This window comes from Homo sapiens, chromosome 5, assembly GCF_000001405.40.
Source record: "Homo sapiens chromosome 5, GRCh38.p14 Primary Assembly".
NCBI classification, from domain to species: Eukaryota; Metazoa; Chordata; class Mammalia; order Primates; family Hominidae; genus Homo; species Homo sapiens.
This window is the reverse complement of record NC_000005.10, coordinates 154,838,421-154,856,526: the sequence shown is the minus strand read 5'-3', so window position 1 is coordinate 154,856,526 and position 18,106 is coordinate 154,838,421. Positions and strand designations below refer to the sequence as shown.

At 45.6% G+C, this 18,106-nt stretch overlaps 1 protein-coding gene across 2 annotated transcripts in view, besides 1 other annotated feature; it reads left to right on the top strand.

Moving 5' to 3' along the window:
* Positions 1-5,923: 5,923 nt before the first annotated feature.
* Positions 5,924-18,106, top strand: part of FAXDC2 (fatty acid hydroxylase domain containing 2) — a 32,112-nt gene continuing 19,929 nt past the window's right edge. Inside the window, exons 1-2 of one of the 2 annotated variants that reach the window (XM_006714753.3) lie at positions 5,924-6,044; positions 17,588-17,964. The gene's annotated coding sequence lies outside the window, so the exon portion shown is untranslated. The remainder of the gene's footprint in view (positions 6,045-17,587; positions 17,965-18,106) is intronic. The other variant, NM_032385.5, reaches the window with a different exon arrangement.
* Positions 13,304-13,598: a silencer, noted in NCBI's record as "tiled region #2591; HepG2 Repressive DNase matched - State 5:Enh, and K562 Repressive non-DNase unmatched - State 6:EnhF". NCBI's record gives its function as "represses a minimal TATA promoter and a strong SV40 promoter by Sharpr-MPRA in HepG2 and K562 cells {active_cell/tissue: HepG2 | K562}" and the evidence as "EXISTENCE:reporter gene assay evidence [ECO:0000049][PMID:27701403]".

The window sequence follows — 18,106 nt, the reverse complement described above, 5'->3', positions numbered from 1 at the left end:
AGCCTGGAGTGCAGTGGCGCGATCTCGGCTCACTGCAAGCTCCGCCTCCCGGGTTCACGCCATTCTCCTGCCTCAGCCTCCCGAGCAGCTGGGACTACAGGCGCCCGCCACCATGCCCGGCTAATTTTTTTCTCTTTTTTTAGTAGAGACGGGGTTTCACCCTGTTAGCCAGGATGGTCTCGATCTCCTGACCTCGTGGTCCGCCTGCCTCGGCCTCCCAAAGTGCTGGGATTACAGACCTGAACCACCGCGCCGGGCCAGTTCTGTGGGTTTCTAACGTGCTTTCTTCCACTTGTAATTTAGAGTCAGAAGAGGCTAGCGCTGACAGGCAGGCAGTAGTCACATGAAAAGCGGCCTCCCCAATCCTTTCTTGGAATTTTGTTTTTTCCTGTGGCACTGGGCCTGGTGTGTGCTAAAACAAACAGGAAACACCATGTCCAGCCTCACTACCACCCCTCACCCAGAATTGGGTGTTCGTTTCTCAAATTATTGAAAATAGATATAAAGCAAACAGATGGATTTTATTTTAGGAGAAGTTAGAGTGTTACTCTTTTTTTTTTTTTTTTTTTTGAGACAGAGTCTCGCTCTGTCGCCCAGGCTGGAGTGCAGTGGCGCAATCTTGGCTCACTGCAAGCTCCGGCTCCCGAGTTCACGCCTTTCTCCTGCCTCAGCCTCCCTAGTACCTGGGACTACAGGCGCCAGCCATCACGCCTGGCTAATTTTTTGTATTTTCTTTTAGTAGAGAAAGGGTTTCAATGTGTTGGCCAGGATGTTCTCGATCTCCTGACCTCGTCATCCTCCCGCCTTGGCATCCCAAAGTGCTGGGATTACAGGCCTGAGCCACCGCACCCGGCCTAGAGTGTTAACGTTTTGAACATTGGATATGATGCTGTACTCATGGATATCGCAAAATTAGAATAATTTTCCAGAAGTCACTGCTTCCCAGTCGGAAGGAAGCCCCTAATGAATGAGAGGGTAGTTGGAAAAGAATATATTCAGTTACATCATTTCATATTTGAGAAGAAAACTCTATTGCTTTTTGAGATGAGGGTCTTGCCACGTTATCCAGGCTGGTCTTGAATCCCTGGGCACCCAGCCTCAAGTAATCCTCCTCACTCAGCCTCCTGAGTGCCTGGGATTACAGGTGCATGCCGCTGCTCCTGGCCCCTATTGTTTTTGAGCTGCAAACTATAGAAAGTCAGGTTCGAACAAATCTCATTTGGGAGGGTATACGTTTTTGTTTTTTGTTGTTGTTGTTGTTGTTATTTTTCATTTTTTTTGAGACGGAGTATCGCTCTTGTTGCCCAGGCTGGAGTGCAATATCGCGATCTCGGCTCACCGCAACCTCTGCCTCCTGGGTTCAAGCGATTCTCCTGCCTCAGCCTCCGAGTAGCTGGGATTACGGGCATGCACCACCACACCCGACTGATTTTGTATTTTTAATAGAGACAGTTTCTCCATGTTGGTCAGGCTGGTCTCGAACTGCTGACCTCAGGTGATCTGCCCGCCTTGGCCTCCCAAAGTGCTGGGATTACAGGCCTGAGCCACCACGCCCAGCAGGAGAGTATAAGTTTAAGAAAATTGAGAAGGCCAGGCGCGGTGGCTCACGCCTGTAATCCCAGCACTTTGGGAGGCCAAGGCGGGCAGATCACGAGGTCAGAAGATCGAGACCATGCTGGCCAACATGGTGAAACCCCTGGATTAGCTGGGTGTGGTGGCACACGCCTGTAATCCCAGCTACTCGGGAGGCCGAGGCAGGAGAATTGCTTGAACCCGGGAGGTAGAGGTTGCAGTAAGCCAAGATCACGCCACCGCACTCCAACCTGGCGACAGAGAGAGACTCCATCTCAAAAAAATTAATAAATAAACAAAATTGAGAAACACTCGTTATAAAATGAATGGGACCCCTTAAGAACCACACAGCTGGCTGGGCGTGGTGGCTCACGCCTGTAATCCCAGCACTTTGGGAGGCCGAGGAAGGTGGATCACCTGAGGTCAGGAGTTCAAAACCACCCTGGCCAACAAGGTGAAACCCCGTCTTTACTAAAAATACAAAAATTAGCCGGGCATGATGGCAGGTGCCTGTAATCCTAGCTACTAAGGAGGCTGAGGCAAGACAGTCGCTTGAACCTGGGAGGTGGAGTTTGCAATGGACCAAGATCATGCCATTGCACTCCAGCCTGGGCAACAGAGCCAGACTCCATTTCAAACAAAAAAAAAGAAAAAAAGATAGGATGGAGAGAAAACCCAGGAAGGCTGGAGAGCTTCTCACTAGACAGATGCTCTTCTCTATAAGGCTTGCTCAGCAATCAACTATTTACTGAAGACCAGTGTTATTAGTGCCAGAGTTATTACTGCCATGGAAATACATAAAGACCCTATATGAAATGATTGTAGGAAAAAAAGTACCTGCTACTCCAGGGAGTGTTGACCACTTAAACTACAAAAGTTCAAGAAGAAAAGAATTAGGCCGGGCACAATGGCTCACACCTGTAATCTTAGCACTTTGGGAGGCTAAAGCACTTTGGGAGGCTGAGGCAGGAGGATCACTTGAGGCCAAGATTTTGGGACAAGGTTGGACAACATAGCAACACCCCATCTCTTAAAAAAAAAGAGAGAGAGAGAGAGAGAAAAGAACTGGAGGCACAATACTTGACAGGAACAGGAAGGAAATTCCAGGTGAGAGGATTAGCGTAAGCAAAGATATGGACATGGAGACAATAGGAAATAGGAAAAAAAGTTTCTGTACATCATAGTAAGTGAACAATAAATGTTTGCACATGACAGTGATGCTTGGCATTAGAAAGTAGGAAGGAGGCCAGGCACAGTGAATCATACCTGTAATCCAACAATTTGGGAGACTGAGGCAGGAGGATTGCTTGAGTCAGGAGTTCAAGACCAGCCTGGGCAACATAGCCAGACTCTGTCTCTCCAAAAATGTTTTTTTTTAATTAGTGGGGCATGGTGGTGTGTGCCTGTAGTCCAACTGCTTGGGAGGCTGAGGTGGGAGGATCACTTGAGGCCAGAAGGTTGAGACTGCAGTGAGCCATAGTTGAGCCACTGCACTCCAGCCTGGGTGACAGAGTGAAACCCTGTGTCTAAAGAAATTTTTTTTTTTTTTTTGAGGTGGAGTCTCGCCCTGTCGGTCGCCCAGGCTGGAGTGCAGTGGCGCAATCTCGGCTCACTGCAACCTCTGCCTCCTGGGTTCAAGCGATTCTCCTGCCTCAGCCTCCTGAGTAGCTGGGACTACAGGCGCCCGCCACCACGCCTGGCTAATTTTTGTACTTTTAGTAGAGACGGGTTTCACCGTGTTAGCCAGGATGGTCTCGATCTCCTGACCTCGTGATCCACCCGCCTCGGCCTCTCAAAGTGCTAGGATTACAGGCGTGAGCCACTGCGCCCGGCCAAGAAATTTTTAAAAATAGGCCAGGTGCAGTGGTTCATGCCTGTAACCTCAGAACTCTCACCTGAGGTCAGAGTTTGAGACCAGCCTGGCCAACATGGTGAAACCCTGAGTCTTCTAAAAATACAAAAAAAAAAAAAAAAAAAAAAAATTAGCCAGGCGTGGTAGCAGGCGCCTGTTGTAGTCCAAGCCACTCTGGAGGCTGAGGCAGGAGAATCGCTTAGAGGCAGGAGAATCGCTTAAACCCAGGAGGCGGAGGTTGCAGTGAGCCGAGATTGTGCTACTACACTCTAGCCTGGGCAACAGAATGAGACTCCATCTCAAAAATAAAAATAAAAAAATTAAAAAATAGAAAGTAGGAGGGAATAGGAAATAATATCATCTGAGAGGAGCCAAACTAAAGTGAGTCTTGGAAGTCTGGTAGCACAGGTTTGTTCAGTGCACAAGATAGACTTGGTCAGCTGGAAAATATAGACATTCTGCAATATCTGGAATATTGAAAAAAATTAGTATCTCTGAAAGGAGAGATGAGGAAAAACATGAACAAGTTGTACAAAATGTAATTAATTTGTGAGCAAGCATTGAATGTTTACTGAGCCCTTGCTTTGTGCAACGAATTAGGCAAGGAAAATGAGGAAGACATGGTCCTTTATTGGCCAAATAAAGTATGACACATCTATACAATGGGACGGGAGGCAGCCATTAAACAGAACATGGCAGCTCTTAAGGGTACTATATGGAGCAGTCTCCATGTTTTGTTGTTGACAGTTTTATTTATTTTAGAGACAGGGCCTCATTATGTTGCCCAGGCTGGTCTCTAACTCCTGGGCTTAAGAAATTCTCCTGCCAGGCCAGGCACGGTGGTGGCTCATGCCTGTAATCCCAGCACTTTGGGAGGCTGAGGTGGGCAGATTATGAGGTCAGGAGTTTAAGACCAGCCTGGCCAATATGGTGAAACCTCATCTCTACTAAAAAAAAAAAATACAAAAATTAGCCGGGCCTGGCAGCGCACACCTGTAGTCCCAGCTACTCGGGAGGCTGAGGCAGAAGAATCGCTTGAACCCAGGAGGCGGAGGTTGCAGTTAGCTGTGATCATGCCATTGCACTCCAGCCTGGGTGACAGAGCAAGACTCCATCTCAAAAAATAAAAAAAAGAAATCCTCCTGCCTCAGCCTTCCAAAGATTGCTGAGATTACAGGCATGAGCCACTGCACCCGGCATTTTTTATTTTGTTTTGTTTTTTAGAGACAGGGTCCCACTCTGTCACTCAGGTTGGAGTGCAGGGCACAATCATAGCTCACTGCAGCCTCCAACTCCTGGGCTCAAGCCATCCTCCCACCTCAGCCTCCCCAGTAGCTGGGATAACAGACATGTGCCAGTAAGCTCTACTAATTTTTTGTATATGTAGTAGAAATGGGGTTTTGCTACATTGCCCAGGCTGGTCTTGAACTCCTGGCCTCAAGTGATCCTCCCGTCTTGGTCTTCCAAAGTGCTGAGATTATACATGTGAGCCGCCGTGCCCAGCCAAGTTTCTGAGTTTTGTTTATTTTAGAAAGGAGTCTTCCTGTGCTGCCCAGGCTGGTCTCAAATACCTGGGCTCAAGTGATCCTCCAACCTCAGCCTCCCAAATAGTTGGGACTACAGGTGAGCACCACCATGCCTAGCCAATCTCCATGTTTGATTGTTAAGTGGAAAAAGCAAGGTGCACAACAAACATACTATGGTGCTGTTGCTAAAGGAGAAGCACAAGGCCTACACATGTTTCTATTTACAGAGGTAAGCTCTGGAAGGATATACAAAAATCTGGTCACAGAGGTTGTCTCTTGGGAGGAAAAAAAGGGGACTGAGGAGAAATTAAAAAAAGACTTTTCATTGTACATTCTTTTGACCCTATTGTATTTTATATCATTTGCACATTTGCTTATTTAAAAAGTTTTCAGAAATTTAAAAGCAGCTCTTTTTCCAAAGTGCTCCTCACTTCATGTCATGGGTCCTGTATCCTAAGTTCCCCTATTTCAATCACAGTGCAAATTTACCCTCCACAGGCATGCCTTTCCTGCATCTAGACTCACTAGAAATAGCTGATGCATCTCTCCTCCCTTGCCTGCCCTCCACAGGAAAAGAAGCAATGAAAAAAAAGAAAATGAGATCCTCTGGTCTCTGTCACCTTTTTATCAACTTGTACTACCTGCCATTATCTGACACCCACATCTTTTCTTGAATCTGCCTCCTCCTATGGGACAGCGACATTTTCTTAAGTTGCAGATGATGGAGAAAATTTTTTAAAAGAAAAAAAGGGGGCAGGGGGAGGGAAGCCCAGAGTTTGGCCAAATGCACGTTTTTCAAGTTCCTGCTTGAGCTTAGATTCCCTTTCCGCTTTAAGGACATGCCCTCTGGAAAGAAGGGTGTTTTGTTTCCAGCCCACACAGACCCAAACTTTTTTCATCACGTGCCTGGTCCGAGCCAGTACGCAGCTCTGTAATGAGATCACCATGGCCAGCCTCCCACCCGAGCAAAAACAAGGTTAGCCTGCAGCAGAGCCGCAGCAGCAACAGCCACCAAAGCGGGGGCTGAAAGGGAAGAGAACTTAGATTTGACCTGTGCAAGGACCTCAGCAGCTTGGACACAGCCCACTGCAGAGGTAAGTGGGAACTACGGGGGAGGGGTGGTGTTTGCAAAGGTCAGGACATGTCCAGGTTCACTTAAAGTAAGGGCAAAACAACACTCTTCCCACCTCTGCCACCACCCTGTCCTCTCTACTTATGGCAGGGTTAGATTTGCCTCTAAACAGGGTTAGATGGCAGGGTTAGAATTTGTCCTAGGACATTGCTGTAGTGCAGTCGCCTCCTTGTCTCTTACTAATGTCTGTATCCTCTGCCTGTGTTTGTACCATCTACCTCCTCAGTAGTCTAATTTTTCTAGCAATTGACAGGTGATTGTAATGGACAAGTAATTGTTTGACTTTAAAACCATTTGTAAAGGAGCAACTCCTAATTCAGAACTCAAATGAGAGGCAGAACAAACTGGAAGAGACTGTTGGGAAGCAACTGCTGCCTAATTGCTTCTCATCTCTACTCTGCCATCACCAGGAAGGTATGGGGCAAAATACAACAGTTTTAAAGTCTCTGGATAGATGTGTGGGCTATGAGCTAGACAAGTAGGTTGAAACTGTTTTGATGCAACATACTTGGATTTACCAACAGTGGCTCCAGTTGTGAAATCGTTAGTGGCTTGATAGTACCTATGGAAACACTCCACGAAGGTTATTGAGTAAAGGGCATACAGTAAAGTGTGTAGGTGGAGATGAACAATAGAACAGTGGCTTTCAGGACCTTCTGGGGCTTAAGGCAAGCAAGACAAGATGCTGATTTGTGGGTTGCTTCAGTTTCATGTGCAATTCCAATTAAATTTCTTTGAGTGGGATATACAGATTCAATTCAATTTGCTAAAACACAGATGCACTGAGCATCAGCTTCTAACTTTAGTTACGAAAGTAATTAGCACAAGGGAATGGTGCTAAAATGTTCCATAGCAAATGTTGAACACTTTTTGAGGGCAAAAAGCAATGCTTTTGATTCGTGTATCTCTTATTTATTCGGCAAATCTTTCTTGAGTATCTTCTACATGCCAGGCTTGGGCTTGATTCTGTGGATCTCGTGGTAAACAAGACAGGCAGATTCTCGGCCTCATGGACATGCAATCAAGCAGAACAGTAAGCTCAAAGGGTGCAAGTACCATGCAGCAAAAGGAGTGAAGAGAGTATTACTAAAACTGGCCCATGGGAATCATTTTTAACCTTTCCTTTCATGCATTTCATCTTCTGTTTTTGTTTTTTTTGTTTTTTGAGATGGAATCTCGTTCTGTCACCCAGGCTGGAGTACAGTGGCGCGATTTCAGCTCACTGCAACCTCCACCTCCTGGGTTCAAGAGATTCTCCTGCCTCAGCCCCCCAAGTAGCTGGGATTACAGGTGCCCGCCACCACACCCAGCTAATTTTCGTATTTTTAGTAGAGATGGGGTTTCACCATGTTGGCCAGGCTGGTCTCCAACTCCTGACCTCAGGTGATCTACCCACCTCGGCCTCCCAAAGTTATGAGATTACAGGCATAAGCCAACGTGCCCAGCCGCATTTCATCTTTGTTTTTTTTTGTTTTTTTGAGACAGACTCTTGCTCTGGCGCCCAGGCTGGAGTGCAGTGGCATGATCTTGGCTCACTGCAACCTCCGCCTCCCAGGTTCAAGCGATTCTCCTGTCTCAGCCTCCAGAGCAGCTGGGATTACAGGCGTGCACCACCACACCCGGCTAATTTTTATATTTTTAGTAGAGACGGAGTTTCGCCATGTTGGCCAGGCTGGTCTCAAACTCCTGACCTCAGGTGATCTGCCCACCTCGGCCTCCCAAAGTGCTGGGATTACAGATGCGAGCCACCGCTCCTGGCCGCATTTCATCTTCTTAAATGAATATCGGCCACTCTATCTTCTATATAAGCCTCAGATTAGTACAGATGTTGAGTCATAGCAGCTCCTCAAAACCCTCTTCACCAGAGGCTTTAAACTGTGTAATTACATTACAGGTCAGTCTCCTCAGCCCTGGAGGTCGACTGCTCAGCTTTTTCCTAGCATACAGTCTGAGAGCAGAGGCTGAAGTAAGGGGAGTTCTAATCTTTGGGTCAGTTGCCCTCTCCCTGTGTCATTTCTTATGAAATAGAAGTTATGCTATTCCCAAAATACATACAGCACTAGGCAAAGTGTTAAGAAGCCTAGATTTTGCCAGAAACCATGTGGAGTTTGGAGCAAGTCATTTCTACTAACTAGGGCTTCCTCCTTAGCTTATAAAATGGAAGGGGTAGACCAGATGAACATGAGGTCTTTTTTCTCCCCCCTCTAAGAGTAAATTGTCTCAACAATTTTACAAGTTGTTTACAAAACAATACACATTCACATAAAGGTGATGTATTTATATCTATAAAATAGGAACATTCAGTAGGCCGGGCATGGTGGCTCACGCCTGTAATCCCAGCACATTGGGAGGCCGAGGCGGGCGGATCACAAGGTCAGAAGATCAAGACCATCCTGGCTAACATGGTGAAACCCTGTCTCTACTAAAAATACAAAAAATTAGCCAGGCGTGGTGGCAGGCACCTGTGGTCCCAGCTACTCGGGAGGCTGAGGCAGGAGAATGGCATGAACCCGGGAGATGGAGCTTGCAGTGAGCCAAGATCGCGCCACTGCACTCCAGCCTGGGTGACAGAGCAAGACTCTGTCTCAAAAAAAAAAGGAACATTCATCAATCATGCAGAATATCCAGGAAACAAGAATATGAAAGAAAATCTGGGCCAGGCGCAGTGGCTCATGCCTGTAATTCCAGCACTTTGGGAGGCCAAGGTGGGTGTATCACCTGAGGTCAGGAGTTCAAGACCAGCCTGGCCAACATGGTGAAACCCCGTCTCTACTAAAAATAAAAAAATTAGCCAGGCATGGTGGGGGTGGGTGCCTGTAATCCCAGCTACTTAGGAGGCTGAGGCAGGAGAATCGCTTGAACCCGGGAGGCAGAGGCTGCAGTGAGCCAAGGTCATGCCATTGCACTCCAGCCTGCGCAACATGAGCGAGACTCCATCTCAAAAAAAAAAAAAAAAAGAAAGAAAGAAAGAAAAAAGAAAATCTGAAAGAGTTGGGCTGTAGACAAATAAAATTCAAGATTAAACCGTCTGTATTCCTTCCAGCCTCACCTTATTCCCATGTCCTTTACTCAGATTCTTGAAGTTGTAAACATTAGCTATAGCTTCACTGTGTCATTTATCTAGATTGGGGATTCTTTAATAAAAAGCCTGCATACTGAGAATCATCTGCTTTCAACAAAACCACATAGGCAGGGCAGAGTGGCTCATGCCTGGAATCCCAGCACTTTGGGAGACCAAGATCACTTAAGCCCAGGAGTCCAAGACCAGCTTGGGCAACATAGGGAGACCCCATGTTTACAAAAATTTTTTAAAAATTCGCCGGCATGGTGGCACAGACCTGTAGTCCCAGTTACTCAGGGGACTGAGGTGGGAGGATCACCTGAGCATAGAAGATTGAGGCTGCAGTGAGCTATGATTGAGCCATTGTACTTCAGTCTCGGCAACAGAGCAAGATGCTATCTCTAAAAAATAAAAATAAATAAAATCCTTGGTTCACACTAAAAAAAAAACAAACAAAAAACCAGAACCACACTAAAAAGTATCTAATTTGCTACTAGGGAGGCTGAGGCAGGAGGATCACCTGACCCCAGGAAGTCGAGGCTGCAGTGAATCATGATTGGGTCATTGCACTCCAGCCTGGACAGAGTGAAACTCTGTCTCAAAATAAATAAATAAATAAAATTTGGATAAACTCACAATAGAATATCAAATTCACTTTAAGGAAGTATCCATTCATTGTTGTAAAATATTAGAACCTTCGGCCAGGCATGGTGGCTCATGCCTGTAATCCTAACACTTTGGGAGGCTGAGGTGGGAACATCACTTGAGCCCAGGAGTTTGAGACCAGCCTGGGCAAAATAGTGAGACCCCATCTCTAAAAATTAAAAAAATAAATGTTTAAAAAATATTTACTTTTAGTACACTTCATTTCTTTCTGTCCTCTGAATGCATTCCATTCTAAAATAAGTATGCTATTATCCTCCTACTTTCTCTGGAAAATCAAAGTTATACGATGTTATAAAATAGGGCAAAAAGCATGTCTTATTCATCTTTCTATCCCATGTCTAGCATTGTCTCTGGCATCTGATAAATGTTTCTTGAAAGAATGATTAGTATTTTAGAGAAAACGTGTCCTTTGGTATTAACACACACACACACACACACACACACACACTATCTAGTTCACTATTCATGGCTAATATAGGCCAATCTCATGCTTTTGTGTCCCTTTCAATCCCTGACACTCACCCTGTGCTCTTCAACATCAATGTATTCTATACTTTTGTAGTCTCAGTTGGTATAATGAGCACTGAATTCAAGTTCTGCCACTAATATGTGTCCAGGCTGGGCGTGGTGGCTCACGCTTGTAATCCCAGCACTTTGGGAGGCCGAGGCAGGCAGATGATGAGGTCAGGAGATCGAGACCATCCTGGCCAACATGGTGAAACCCCGTCTCTACTAAAAAAAAATATATATATATATATACAAAAATTAGCTGGGTGTGGTGACGCATGCCTGTAATCCCAGCTACTCAGGAGGCTGAAGCAGGAGAATCGCTTGAACCCGGGAGGCAGAGGTTGCAGTGAGCCGAGATCACGCCACTGCACTCCAGCCTGGCAACAGAGTAAGATTCCATCTAAAAAAAAAAAAAAAATAGGTGTCCAACTTGAAGCCAAATACTAAATACCTCTGCACCTCTGTTTCTTCAGTTGGAAAATGGGGGCATCTGAATAGATGAGCTCTAATACAACTTCCAGTTTGTTTTTTTTTGTTTGCTTGTTTTTTGTTTTGTTTTTTGAGAGTCTTCCTCTGTGGCCCAGGCTGCAGCATGAGCCACCACACCTGGCTAATTTTTTTTATATTAATACTTTGTGGATATAGGGCCTGTGTTTCCCAGGCTGACTCAAGCAATCCTCCCGCTTCAGCCTCTCAAAGTGCTGGGATGATAGGCATGAGACACCATGCCCAGTCCAACTTCCAGTTCTTAAGACGGCACACTCCAAAAGGAAGAAAAAAAGAATTAGTCAAGTCACAGAAAGTAATGACTATGGTACTTCAGTGTATTAGTAAATGTTGTTGCTAGTTTTATTTGCCAAAATTTCTAACTTGAACACTATCATTAGCAAACAATGTTAAGGAGCTTCTTTGGGTGAAGACCCACTGCCTACCATGTTTGAGGTCTCCCCTAGAACCTTTCTGACTGACCATGTTCATGTAAAACTGAAAACATGTCTGCAGGCGGGCAGAGAGGCACAGAAAGCAAGCTGCTTTGGCATAACATATTCAGCAGAACAATACAATTGGAGGACTCAGTACCTAGATAAGTATCTCTGGAAATTGCATATGGCCATATTGGCGTAACTAAAGAATAAATGACATGTCAGGAAATGCTTTGTTTGTTCTAATGAAATGAGATGTCAACAGATAAATGCTGCTGCTCTTACAGCCGAGAAGCCTTCTCACCACCAGAAAGTAAGCAATCATTTTCCCTTTGGCCAGAAGGTGTACGTAGAGCAGAGGAGTCCAGTGTCAAACATACTTATCAGCCCCTAATCACTCAGTCTCAGCAATACGCAGTTTCCATAACATGGACACAGTGGGCATGATCAGCACTCTGCCCTGTAGAGTGAACCAGAGCTGTCTTCTTCCAGAGCCAAGATCTTATTGTACTGACAGTCATCCTAGTTCCTCTTGGTTTTTGTTTTTAATTTCAATATCTGATTCTGTTTATTTATACTTTATACCCAGCCTATATGTCAAAAGGGTTTGAGGTAGTTTCCAATAAAAGGATATATAGAACAGCTTCAAATAAATAAAAACTGATAAGAAACCATCAGACAATAACCTAAATCATTTTGGTGGGGAAGGTGTGATTTGTAGAGAAAATAAACAGGTGCTTTAAAAAGAGGGAAAAATGGATTGTCCAATTTTCTTTGCACACCATAAGAAAGCATACCACTTCTTCCAGAGAGGCAAAACTTCTGTGCACTTATTTCTGTTTTGGTCTTTATCTGACTCAGTCTCTATATGTACTTGTTTCTTTTTCTTTTTTTTTTTTTTTGGAGGCAGGGTCTTGCTCTGTCATCCAGGCAGGAGTGCAGTGGTGCAATCACAGCTCATTGCAACCTCCACCTCCCCAGCTCAAGTGATCGTCCCACCTAATCTTTTTAATTTTTTGTAGGGACAGGGTCTCACTATGTTTTCCAGGCTGGTCTTTTTTTTTTTTGAGACAGAGTCTCACTCTGTTGCCTAGGCTGGAGTGCAGTGGCGCAATCTCGACTCACTACAGACTCCACCTCCTGGGTTCAAGCAATTTTCCTGTCTCAGCCTCCTGGTAGCTGGGATTACAGGCACCCGCCACCATGCCCAGCTAATTTTTGTATTTTTAGTAGAGGTAGGGTTTTGCCATGTTGGCCAGGCTGGTCTTGAACTCCTGACCTCAAACGATCCACCCACCTCAGCCTCCCAAAGTGCTGGGATTACAGGCATGAGCCACTGCACCCGACCCAAGACTGGTCTTGAACTCCTGGGCTTAAGCAATCCTCCTGCCTCAGCCTCCCAAAGTGCTGGGATTATAGGCATGAGCCACTGTGCCTGGCCAAACTTATTTCTTTATTGGAATCATCATCTATATCCTCATAAAAAGTATACTGCTTCTTCTTAACTAAATAATGGAGTAAGGAATGTCTTCAATGGCTATTTTGGTATTCATGTGGCAGACTGTTAAATATTTTTTTCTCTTCTATCTATCTTGTTTAACTATGGTCTGACTAAAAACAGCATTCTTTGGATAAGCTAAAATGCAGTCTGGGAAGAAAGTTCAGTTTTGAAGTTGGAGACCATGTATCCAAGAGCATGAAGAAAGCCTGGACATTGTCTTCCTATAGAGATTTCTTGGTGTACCAGATCTCCTACCTGTCTAGTAGTTTCTTAGCTCTGGCATAGACCTCTAGCCCAGTACTTTGATATAAATTTCAGAATGATGAATATGTATCCAGACTGAGAGTTTCTCATTTTTGCATCTTCAGCACTTTCTACAGCTCCTTGCACATAGTAAGTTCGTAAATGTTTTTGGAAGGAATGGATGAGCTCCTAAAGATCAAAGGCCATGTCTCGTTTGCTTTGCAAGCTCTTAGCAAAGATAATGGAGTTGATAAGACAGGGAAAAGGCTAGGAGACTTGGACTTGTGAGTGAAGTTCCCTGTGGCATGGCATAGCAAAAAGAGCTCTGTAAGCTTGAAAAGCAAACAAACAAACCCCAAATCCTCTCTACTCCCTTCCCAAACAGGATGGTTATCTCAACAGGGTCAACAGAACCTTTTATCCTTCCTAACAAACACTGAAGAGGGAAATCCACACTAACGTGAAGGCTCTGCCTGTTTTCAAATGGTTTGCAGACATTTAGATCTCCCAAGTATTTCCCAAGTTGAGGTGTTTCTTTTGACAGTTGGTTCCTTGTCATTAAATATTTGAGCTGGGCCTGGTGGTTCATGCCTGTAATCCCAGTGCTTGGGAGGCTGAGGCAGGAGGATCTCTTAATAAGACCCAGGAGTTAGAGACCAGCCTCAGCAATATAGCAAGACCCTATATCTCTATTTTTTTTTAAAAAAAAAGGGCCGGGTGCAGTGGCTCACACCTGTAATTGCAGCACTTTGGGAAGCCGAGGCAGGCAGATCACGAGGTCAGGAGATTGAGACTATCCTGGCCAAAATGGTGAAACCCCATCTCTACTTAAAAAAAAAAAAATACAAAAATTAGCTGGGCATGGTGGTGCGTGCCTGTAATCCCAGCTACTCGGGAGGCTGAGGCAGGAGAATTGCCTGAACCTGGGAGGCAGAGGTTGCAGTGAGCCGAGATTGCACCATTGCACTCCAGCCTGGGTGACAGAGTGAGACTCTGTCTCAAAAAAAAAAAAAAAAAAAAAAAAAAAACACACAAAGGGCTGAGCGCAGTGGCTCACGCCTGTAATCCCAGCACTTTGGGAGGTCGAGGCGGGTGGATCACAAGGCCAGGAGTTAGAGACCAGCCTGGCCAATATGGTGAAACCCCATCTCTACTAAAAAAAAAAATACAAAAAAATTAGCCGGGCATGGTGGTGCATGCCTGTAATCTCAGCTACTAGGGAGGCTGAGGCAGGAGAATTGCTTGAACCCAGGAGGTGGAGGTTGCCGTGAGCTGAGATTGTGCCACTACGCTCCAGCCTAGGTGACAGAGTGAGACTCCATCTCAAAAAACAAAACAAAACAAAACAAAAAACACACAAACAAACAACAAGGGTGGGGGAAATGAAACATTTGATAGGTTTAGCCCTAAAAGTACCTAACACCACTACCTCCCTTGTGCTTAATGATCCATGCTTTTTGGGACTCCAGACAGCAAACAAAGTGCCAGGCTGAAAATGACACAAGCCAGGCACGGTGGCTCATGCCTGTAATCCCAGCACTTTGGAAGGCCGAGGCAGGTGGATCATCTGACATCAGGAGTTCGAGACTGGTCTGGCCAACATGGCAAAACCCCGACTCTACTAAAAATACAAAAAAATTAGCTGTGCATGGTGGCAGACCCCTGTAATCCCAGCTACTTGGGAGACCGAGGCAGGATAATCGCTTGAACCAGGGAGGCGGAGGTTGCAGTGAGCTGAGATCGTGCCACTGCACTCCAGCCTGGGCGACAGAGTGAGACTGCCTCAAAAAAAAAAAAAAAAGAATATGACTTTGCCTCATCCCAGAATCCTAGCACTGTGTGAAGGGCAGCTTCTCTGAAGGGACCCTTATCCACCTTGGAGATGTGAGCCAAACTCAGAATCAAGCCACAGGAACTGCTTAGGACAATGAGGGTGGAGAAAATCATTATTTAAAGAATAATTCTTTGGAATCTTCATAAGCCCAATTTATTAAATAATGTCTGTTGTCCTAGTTGTGGGGCAGGGGTGTTTACAATTGGTTTAGGCTGAGACTTACCATCCTGAAATGCTTGCTCAGCTGTCCTTCTGGAAGCTCAGGTGCTGCAGAATATGACTACAGAGCACCCTCTAACCCCCAAGTCCACAGAGGAATCCCAGCCACCCACTCAGTATCAGAACCTGGAGTGAAGGAATGCCTGCAGCTGCACTCTACTAACTTCTCTTTTTCTGGTTTTCCTAGAACTTGCATTGAGGCACAAACTGCACACTTACAAGCCTCAGTAGCTTCCCTTGCTGTCAGTCAAGCAATGTTTGGGAAGGGAGCAGGGGAAGGGAGCATGGGTAAAGCAGGCCTAGGAGTGTGGACAGGGCCCTGTTCTAGAGTGTCTGAAACCCATTCCCGTCTCTGGGTAGGGGTTAGGCCTACGCCACACCAAACATCCTGGTGCCTGCTCTCAAGTCAGACAGTGTCTCCCTGGCAGGATATCAGATGCCTCGGTATTTCTCCCTGAGAGGCTCTTCCTCTGAGCTAACTGTACCCCTCCTGCTGTAATGGGACTCACAGTGGTAATGATAAGCAGCTTGCTTATCACCTCCTTCTGGTGTCCTAACTCCTCAAACACTGAAAGACACTTTATAGGTCACCATTCTCTCTTCCTTTCTTCAGCCTAAGTAATCTGTAAAAAATGTGGGCTGGGCACAGTGGCTCATGCCTATAATCCTGGCACTTTGGGAGGCCGAGGCGGGAGGATCGCTTGAGCTCACAAGTTTGAGATCAGCCTGGGCAATGTAGTAAGACACTGTCTCTACAAAAAATACAAAAATTAGCTGGGTATGGTGGTATGTGCCTGTAGTCTGTATTCCCAGCTACTCAGAAAACTGAAGTGGGAGAATTGCATGAGTCTAGGAGGCTTGAGCCTGGGAGGCAGAGGTTGCAGTGAGCCATGATCATGCTGCTACACTCCAGCCTGGGCAACAGAGCAAGACCCTGTCTCAAAAAAAAAAGAAATGTGAATGAGGCTGGGCATGGTGGTGTACACCTGTAGTCCCAGCTACTCAGAAGGCTGAGGCAGGAGGATCCCTTGAGCCCAGGAGTTTGAGTCCAGCTTGGACACCATGGTGAGACCCCATCTCCTAAAAAAAATCAATTTAAAAAAAAGGGTTCATGGGTGTAATTTCAACACTTTGGAAGGCTGAGGCAAGAGGATTGCTTGAAGCCAGGCAAGAGGATTGCTTGAAGCCAGGAGTTCAAGACCCCCGTCTCCTCGTTATTAAAATAAAAATAATAATAAAAAAAATGGGTCAAAGGGGAGCAGTTATTTCCTAAAGTCATAGCTGGTAAACATGCATTTAGAATAATAAAACTAAGTACAATCATATACAAAAGAATAAAACATCCATAGAGATGGAAATAAGTGGCACGAAGTCCAGTCTGGAACCTGGGTCCTAAGCCTGGCTCTGCTACTTATCATCTATAGACTCTGGGAGGTCACCTGCCTCTTCTTGTCTAGGTTCTTTCATCCTTGTAACATGGTGGGACCAGATGATCTGTAGTGCTCCTCTCCAGCCAGGTTATGACACTATCTAATAGGGATGGCCAGTGGGATAACATGTGCTAGCTTCTCTGGACTGGTGTGCCTGCCTTGAGTGCTGTGGTTGGGTCTGTGAGTTTAGTTAGTCTCAGGTGAAAGATGTTGGGAATGACAGGTGCTGTCTACCAGGGATGACAGAGTGATGGAGGAGAATTTGTCATCTAAGTTTCAATTACTATTATTTAAATTTAAAATTTTTGAACAACTAGTACATTCATATGGTCCAAAATTTCAACCATATAAAAACATAAAATATTTATTGCCAGTATTGTTCTATTGTTCTTTTTTTTTTCTTTCTTTTTTTGAGACAAGGTCACACTCTGTCGTCCAGGCTGGATCAGTGGCATGATCATGGCTCATTGCAGCCTCCATCTCCCAAACTCAAGTTATCTTCCCAGTTCAGCCTCTCAGGTAGCTGGGACCACAGGCATGTGCTACCACACCTGGCTAATTTTTTTTTTTATTTTTTGTAGAGACAGGGTGTCTCTATGTTTGCCCAGGCTGGTCTCAAACTCCAGGACTCAAATGATCCTCCTGCCTTGGCCTCCCCAAGTGTTGGGACTACAGGTGTGGGCAACTGCACCCAGCCTCAGACGTATTTCTTTTCTTTTTTTTTTTTTTTTTGAGATGGAGTCTTGCTCTGTTGCCCAGGCTGGAGTGCAATGGTGCGATCTTGGCTCAGTGCAACCTCCGCCTCCCGGGTTCAAGCAATTCTCCTGCCGCAGCCTCCTGAGTAGCTGGGACAACAGGCATGCACCACCATGCCTGGCTAATTTTTGTGTTTTCAGTAGAGATGTGGTTTTGCGGTGTTGGCCAGGCTGGTCTTGAACTCCTGACCTTAGGTGATCCACCCACCTTGGCCTCCGAAAGTGCAGGGATTACAGATGTGAGCTGCCCGCACCCGGCCCTCAGACATATTTCTAATGATTGTCCTTCTAGCCAATTCTTGTTAGGCTGCATTTTTAAAGGAGGTTAATGCCTGATATTCATATCCTTTTTCTTTTCCATAGAACTGTTGATTGGTTTCAGAAAAATCTTGGTCCATGTTTTTAAACCAACCAACAAGTAATACTAAAGAACAAACCAGCACTTTGGGAGGCCGAGGCTGGCGGATCACAAGGCCAGGAGATCGAGACCATCCTGGCTAACACGGTGAAACCCTGTCTCTACTAAAAATACAAAAAATTAGCCGGGCGTGGTGGTGGAAGCCTGTAGTCCCAGCTACTCAGGAGGCTGAGCAGGAGAATGGCGTGAACCTGGGAGGCAGAGCTTGCAGTGAGCCAAGATTGTGCCACTGCACTCCAGCCTGGGCGACAGAGCGAGACTCTGTCTCAAAAAAAAAAGAACAAACCAAACCAACTTGCTAGAACTACTCTTTGAGTTCTGGGTAAGTTCATTTTTTTCTCTTACAGCAACAGCTCTCTAATAAAAGGGAGAAATGAAGACAGGAGTTTGAGACCAGCCTGGGCAACGTAGTGGGACCCTGTCTCTTAAAAAAGCATTATCATACATTTTTTGTAGTTGGTAGA